The sequence below is a fragment of the Homo sapiens genome, chromosome 3 (genome assembly GCF_000001405.40).
Source record: "Homo sapiens chromosome 3, GRCh38.p14 Primary Assembly".
NCBI classification, from domain to species: domain Eukaryota; kingdom Metazoa; phylum Chordata; class Mammalia; order Primates; family Hominidae; genus Homo; species Homo sapiens.
Window position 1 is genome coordinate 155,986,880 of NC_000003.12, and position 8,301 is coordinate 155,995,180.

At 40.6% G+C, this 8,301-nt stretch overlaps 1 pseudogene; it reads left to right on the forward strand.

Annotated features, from left to right (window-relative positions):
• On the forward strand, positions 359-2,163 carry SETP14 (SET pseudogene 14; annotated as a pseudogene).

Here is an 8,301-nt window from a genome sequence, read left to right on the forward strand (position 1 = left end):
GAAAAGCTATTTTCAATGTATAAAACCAACAAACTATTTAGAATATTCAGGGAATTCTAGCATACAATTCTAACTTGCAGCAAGAAAAAGTCAGAAAACACAGAATATTAATAAGTAGTTAACAGAAAGGGAAACTTATGTAAGCATTATATCTCTTAAGTGAATGTAATACGAAAAATGAATTTAGAATAAATTAACTCAATTTTCTCAGAATCCGGTTGACAAAAATGAAGTCAGGTAATGTCAAATACTGGCCAAAGATGTGAGGACATGAGAATCCTCATCTATGGCTGGTGGAAGTATAAATAGTCATTACAGTGAGCCATTTTAGCAGTGCAAAGTTAAATTAAGAATACATAGTGTTCAGCCTGCTTCCGGACGGGCGAGGAGACTTGTGGTCTGGTTCTGGGACTTCCCTAATAGCATGGCGCCTAAACGCCAGTCTCCACTCCAGCCTCAAAAGAAGAAACCAAGACCACCTCCTGCTCTGTGACCGGAGGAGACATCGGCCTCTGCAGGCTTGCTGAAGAAGGGAGAAAAAGAACAGCAAGAAGCGATTGAACACATTGATGAAGTACAAAATGAAACAGACAGACTTAATGAACAAGCCAGTGAGGAGATTTTGAAAGTAGAACAGAAATATAACAAACTCCGCCAACCATTTTTTCAGAAGAGGTCAGAATTGATCGCCAAAATCCCAAATTTTTGGGTAACAACATTTGTCAGCCATCCACAAGTGTCTGCACTGCTTGGGGAGGAAGACGAAGAGGCACTGCATTATTTGACCAGAGTTGAAGTGACAGAATTTGAAGATATTAAATCAGGTTACAGAATAGATTTTTATTTTGATGAAAATCCTTACTTTGAAAATAAAGTTCTCTCCAAAGAATTTCTTCTGAATGAGAGTGGTGATCCATCTTCGAAGTCCACCGAAATCAAATGGAAATCTGGAAAGGATTTGACGAAACGTTCAAGTCAAACACAGAATAAAGCCAGCAGGAAGAGGCAGCATGAGGAACCAGAGAGCTTCTTTACCTGGTTTACTGACCATTCTGATGCAGGTGCTGATGAGTTAGGAGAGGTCATCAAAGATGATATCTGGCCAAACCCATTACAGTACTACTTGGTTCCCGATATGGATGATGAAGAAGGAGAAGGAGAAGAAGATGATGATGATGATGAAGAGGAGGAAGGATTAGAAGATATTGATGAATAAGGGGATGAGGATGAAGGTGAAGAAGATGAAGATAATGATGAAGGGGAGGAAGGAGAGGAGGATGAAGGAGAAGATGACTAAATAGAACACTGATGGATTCCAACCTTCCTTTTTTTAAATTTTCTCCAGTTCCTGGGAGCAAGTTGCAGTCTTTTTTTTTTTTTTTTTTTTTTCCCTCTTGTGCTCTGTCACCCTGTTCTTGAGGTCTCTTTTCTCTGCTCCATGGTTCTCAACTTATTTGGGGGGAAATACCTTGAGCAGAATACAATGGGAAAAGAGTCTCTACCCCTTTCTGTTCGAAGTTCATTTTTATCCCTTCCTGTCTGAACAAAAACTGTATGGAATCAACACCACCGAGCTCTGTGGGAAAAAAGAAAAACCTGCTCCCTTCGCTCTGCTAGAAGCTGGAGGGTGCTAGGCCCCTGTGTAGTAGTGCATAGAATTCTAGCTTTCTTCCTCCTTTCTCTGTATATTGGGCTCAGAGAGTACACTGTGTCTCTATGTGAATATGGACAGTTAGCATTTACCAATATGTATCTGTCTACTTTCTCTTGTTTAAAAAAAGAAAAAAAAAACTTAAAAAAATGGGGTTATAGAAGGTCAGCAAAGGGTTGGTTTGAGATGTTTGGGTGGGTTAAGTGGGCATTTTGACAACATGGCTTCTCCTTTGGCATGTTTAATTGTGATATTTGACAGACATCCTTGCAGTTTAAGATGACACTTTTAAAATAAATTGTCTCCTAATGATGACTTGAGCCCTGCCACTCAATGGGAGAATCAGCAGAACCTGTAGGATCTTATTTGGAATTGACATTCTCTATTGTAATTTTGTTCCTGTTTATTTTTAAATTTTCTTTTTGTTTCACTGGAAAGGAAAGATGATGCTCAGTTTTAAACATTAAAAGTGTACAAGTTGCTTTGTTACAATAAAACTAAATGTGTACACACACACAAAAAAAAGAATACATAAATACCATGCCTAGAAATTCTATGCCTGGAGAAATGTCAACATCTGGAGAATCACTCGCATAGAGTTTTACAAAAAGATGTCCTCAAACAGACACATGATAATGTTCATAGCAGTATGACTTGAACTAGCAAAGATCTGAAATTACACAGGTGTCCATCTCTAGAGAAATGTACAAATAAAACATGGTACATATATTTAAAGGAATATTATGCAGCAGACAGATGCTCCATATAAATAAGGTTTATATATTGCAATGTAAATATATGCATCAAAATAAATATGCATGAAAGATGGTTTGAAAATCAAAGTTTAAATATAGTAGAGTGGGTGTCTATACCTGGAAAGAGATTGGGATTGGAAGGAGGAATAAAGAAAATTAACATAAAACAAATTGAAATAGAATACAATAGCCTTGCAGGGGCCACCAATGATCGCATACTGTGAATTCAGGAATATTATACATTCAGTTCTGTAAACCTAAAGTTATAAAAGACTTCAACTAAAAAAAAAAAAAAAAAAGAGCTACTACACTAGTCTCCTGTTACCTGCAGGGGATATGTTCCAAGTCTCCCAGCAGATGTCTGAAACCTTGGATAGTACTAAACCCTGTATATACAGTCATACCTTGCTTTACAATGGGGATACATTCAGAGAAATGCATCATTAAGCAATTGCATCATTGCATGAACATAACAGAGTGTACTTACACAATCCTAGATGTCAGAGCCCACTACACACCTAGGCTATATGGTATAGCCCATAGCTCCTAGATTACAAAACTGTATAGCATGTTACTGTACTGAATACTGTAGGCAATTTTAGCACAATGGTAAGTATTTGTGTATCTAAACATTTCTAAACATAGAAAAGATCCAGTAAAAAATATGGTATATATTCTTATGGGACCAGCATAGTATGTTTGGTCTGTCATTGACTGAAACATCTTTATGGGGTGCATAACTGTACTATGCTTTTTCCTATACATACATACTTATGATAAACTTTAATTTATAAATTAGGCACAGAAAGAGATTAACATCAGTAACTAATAATAAAATGGAACAATTATAACAATATATTGTAATAAAAGTTATGTGAATGTGGTCTGTCTCTCAAAATACCTTGTAATGTACTTATCCTTCTTCTTTTTTTTTTTTTTTAGACAGAGTCTTGCTCTGTCACCAGTACAGTGACACAATCTGGGCTCACTACAACCTCTGCCTCCTGGGTTCAAGCGATTCTCCTCTGTCAGCCTCCCCAGTAGCTGGGATTACAGGCACAAGCCACCATGCCTGGCTAATTTTTGTATTTTTAGTAGAGACAGGGTTTTGCCAGGTTGGCCAGGCTGGCCTCAAACTCCGGGCCTCAAGCGATCCACCTGCCTTATCCTCCCAAGGTGTTGGGATTACAGGCATGAGCCACCATGCCTGGCCTTATCCTTCTTATTGTGATGAAGAGGGAACAGAGTGGAATGACATGAGATTTTATCATGGTACTCAGAACGGTATACAATTTAAAACTGTGAATTGTTTATTTCTTGAGTTTTTCATTTAATATTTTCAGACTGTGGCTCACCACAGGTAACTAAAACTAAAGAAAGCAAAATCATAGGTAAGTCAGGGATTACTATATTTCTTTACATTTTGGCCAAAGACAACTCCTCTAGTTATTTTTTTCAAACTTGTGAAGATGGAATAAATCCCATTGTTAGGCCTGATCTGAGCTCTCCAATGCCAAACACTAATCTAGTAGTTGCAGTTTCCTGTTACCCAGGGACATATTTGTGGTCTTCCTATTTTGTTGTTTTCAGTGTGTTAATCATCTCCACTCAAAATCCTCCTGAATGAAACTGTTGGATGACCTACACCACCTTTGCCTAAAAAGTGTGTTTCTGGAAAGCCAGAGGGAAAACTCCTGCAAATGAGCCACCCTAGTGCTGCTGGATTTGAAGAGGCAGATGGTGGTTGGATTTTACAAGGCCCCTTTGTTCTCTTTCTTCATTTTCTGCCTGTTTTTACATGAATTGACTTTGTGCAGATCTAGCCAAGTGTGTGAAGCACCTTCGAGGAGGTGCGTTAATGATAAGCTGAAATCTGGGTCACTAAAGAGTTTTACCGCCTTTCATTTGCAGAGTCTGAGAAGCCCCTTCTGGCCTTTACCATATGAAAGTTTTACAGCAACTGTAATATTTAGAGAAAACACACACAAAGGATGGGAATGGAAGCCTCGGCAGTCTTCTCAGCAGAGGGCCTCCCAGCAGACTGGATTTATTGGACTTTTCATTTTCCCTCACCATTTGGATTTTCAAAGACTTTTTATTAGTTCAGCCTTTAAAGCAGAAAAAATCAGCCAATTTGTTACAAACCACTGCAGCTTCAGTCCCCTGAAGCCAAGAACAACCGCTCAGCTCTTCCAACTTGGCTGCAAAGCAACATCTGTTAAGTCTCCTGTGCTCACCTCCCCAGCCAAAGAGACGTCACACCTGCAGTGCTGGGATTTTGTGAAAAAAATGGAAATAGCGTATTGTATACATCTTTTTTTCCAATATCTTTTGCTTTATGTTAATGCTTCTAGTTCAGGAGTGTCTGAAGTATTTCACAATGCTTAACAGAGCAAGGTTTGTCCCTTAGTTTTGGGTCATTTGTTAATTCTGTAAGTATTTGCTGAGCATATGTGTAAGACACGTGGCTCTAATTCCCACCAGGTAGTTGTTAGGTTGGCCTCTTCCTTTTGTGATGAGATCTTGTGTTTGTATTTTTTCTTTGGACTGCTCTGATCATGGTTCTATCAGATAAACAAATGCTGGAAATTAGTTGCCAGTCTGGTCAATTTGTTAGGTGGCTTTTCAAATTGTTACACAGGGAGTTGATGTTCTTGGAAACAGAAGGAAGAAGTATGGGTGCCTTATGAACCATTAGGTTTCAGTAAATAGCACCTGCTTTTCACACCACGCTGGGGTAAGGCATAGAATGAGGCATAGCATAGATATGGTATAGCATACCTGGTGGTGTAGGTCATCCAGCAGTTATGTGCAGGAGGATTTTGAGTGGAGATGATCAGCACACTGAAAACAACAAAATAGGAAGACCACAAATGTGTCTCTGGGTAATAATATACTATAGTATAGTGGGTGGATCTTAGATTCACCTGAAATCTTAAGCATCAACTGCATTTTCTAGCCTTGGGATCATGGGTGTCTCAAATTTCTGAGCTCGAGTTTACTGAAAGTAATAGGAACGTTTGTGCTTGCAGTTGCTGAAAAAAAATTAAGTGAGCTACTGTAGGTGCTCATTAAATGTTGGCCTTTGCTTATGGCCACCTAAGAGGAAAATAAAGGAAGTAGAAAGCTCAGTTCTAGTATTCAGAAGCTGGCAGTTCAGTTAGGGAGGTGAGACACAGACTCTACATAAAACCACCAGAGTAAATGCCTCTGAGACAAAACTGAAATGGCATGAGTTAACATATTCTGTCCCCTCATCACCGCCAGTTCTGGAAATGAAAGACTGACTTTTCTTTAAAAAATATGTTTATGGGCCAGGCGCAATGGCTTACGCATGTAATCCTAGCACTTTGAGAGGCTGAGGTGGGCAGATCACGAGGTCAAGAGTTCGAGACAAGCCTGGCCAACATGGTGAAACCCCGACTCTACTAAAAATGCAAAAATTAGCCAGGCATGGTGGCGTGTGCCTGTAGTCCCCGCTACTTGGGAGGCTGAGGCCAAGAATCTCTTGAACCCGGGAGGTGGAGGTTTCAGTGAGCCGAGATGGTGCCTGGGTGACAGAGCAAGACTCTATCTCAAAAAAAAAAAAATGTGTTTATGCTTTTTTTTTTTTTTTTTTTTTTTGAGACAGGGTCTCGCTGTCTCACCCAGACTGGAGTGCTGTGGCACAATCATGGCTCACTGCAGCCTCAAACTTGGGGGCTGAAGCAATTCTCCCACCTCAGCCTCTGGAGTTGCTGGGACCACAGGTGCACGCCACCATGCCTGGCTAATTTTTAAAATTTTTTTTGTAGAGATGGGATCTCCCTATGTTTCCCAGGCTGATCTTGAACTCCTGGGCTCAACTGATCCTCCTGCCTCGGCCTCCCAAAAACCTGGGATTACAGGCATGAGCCACTATGCCCAGCTGTGTGTTTACGCTTGATGTCCAGAAAGCTTTTTATAAAGCAAAAACCCTTCTCTTTAGAGGAAATCAAATGCTTGGGTTTTAAATTAGGCTCAAACATACATCCTCACAAATGTGCACACAAATATTATAGTGACTTTAAGGCTCCATTAGGATGTTCAGCTGAGAGTTGTGCAAATGTTTGATCCATCTGGTGACAGCTCATAGAATGTGTTATTTCCAATGTTTGCAAATAACAATCTAAATAGAAATATGCTTGAAGATATTCTGTTAATGTGTATGCACTGAAAAGCAATTTCCTTTCCATATTATATATTAAAAGAATTGAAACCCTCCCTTGTATTTGCAATTGTATAAATGTCTTCATGCTATTTAAGGTGCAGGTCATGGCAGGAGAGCGTGAACGTGTCATTTGATAGTTCTTGGTCAATGCGGGTATAGTCTCTAGCAGTGGTCTTTTTTTGAAGTATTTCAAATTTTCATTGGTTTTATGCCAGCGAGTGGAAAAAGTAAGGGCTTTGCAGCTAGTGAGACTTAGGTTCTAATACATATCCTTTGGAACAAGGTGTTCAAAATTTGCTGGGATAATGATGGTGACATTTGCATAGGAGACATGGAATCTTCTGCTATCAAGGATTAAGACCTTTTCCTTCGCATGTTAACTGCTATTAAAACATCTCTGGGGAGCCGAGCGTGGTGGCTCACGCCTGTAATCCCAGCACTTTGGGAGGCTGAGGCGGGTGGATCACGAGGTCAGGAGATCGAGACCATCCTGGCTAACATGGTGAAATCCCGTCTCTACTAAAAATACAAAAAATTAGCCGGGCGTGGTGGCGGGCGCCTGTAGTCCCAGCTGCTAGGGAGGCTGAGGCAAGAGAATGGCATGAACCCGGAAGGCGGAGCTTGCAGTGAGCCGAGATTGTGCCACTGCACTCCAGCCTGGGTGACAGAGCGACACTCCGTCTCAAAAACAAAGCAAAACAAAACAAAAAAAACTCTGATGATTGAAACTGTTATTAAATGGAAAGCAGTGTAAAAAAGGCCACTTGAGACCTCCCCGGGGGGGATTTACTAGAAAGGCGAACCCCAGTGCCATGCCAGTGCCTCGGATATCTTGGGCGAAGGAGACAGCTTTGGATGCAGCTTGTGTCTGAAGCTGGAATCTGAAAGCTTATTCTTAGGCAGTGAGCTTAGCAATGTTTTGGAGGAAGTCTGAATGACCAACTGGGGTGTCTGTTGACTTTACATCTCACAAAGTTTCTGGTCTCATACATGGGGTAGTGTAGCTGCAGGTTGTTAGGTTAATTAGTTTCTAGGGGCCGTTGTGCTATTCTGAAGCCTCATGAGCTTTATTCCATTTGTGAAATTGGGGGAGGGATGTGGAGGTTGGAGGGTTAAGGGCTGGGAATAAGGTGAATCCTGGTGTGGTGCTAGCTAAAGAGGGGGACTGATGGAGTGTTAAAGGAGTCAGGGATTGGAGATGTCTGATCCCTCGTCTTCTTGGAGAAGCAATTAAATTAATTAATAGCATTGTTGGAACTTGTTCTGTCATGAGTTCTGATTTTCTCTATAGTCTTGAACTCCTGGGCTCAACTGATCCTCCTGCCTCGGCCTCCCAAAGAGCTGGGATTACACTTTCTCCTAGGTTCATACATACATCTCATTAAATGTACATACATCTCATTCATCATCTCATTAAAAATGAGATGATGTATGTATGAACCTAGGAGAAAGAAAAAGGAGTAAGTTATTTGACTAGCCTTCCACTTAATGTGGAACTGCCCGTTGCTCAGGTGTCAGTGGCCACTATTCCTGAACCCATGTGCATTCCAATCGAGCTGCCCCTCTGGGAGCTCCTGCATCACTCAGTGTATTTTTTGAGGAGATAAATGTAAACTTTTGGCCTTTTCATTGATCACTTTCCCTGTGTTAGATTGTTCTCAGGGGTAGAGAATTCAGAACTCTACATGGCGTTGCTCACAACTTTC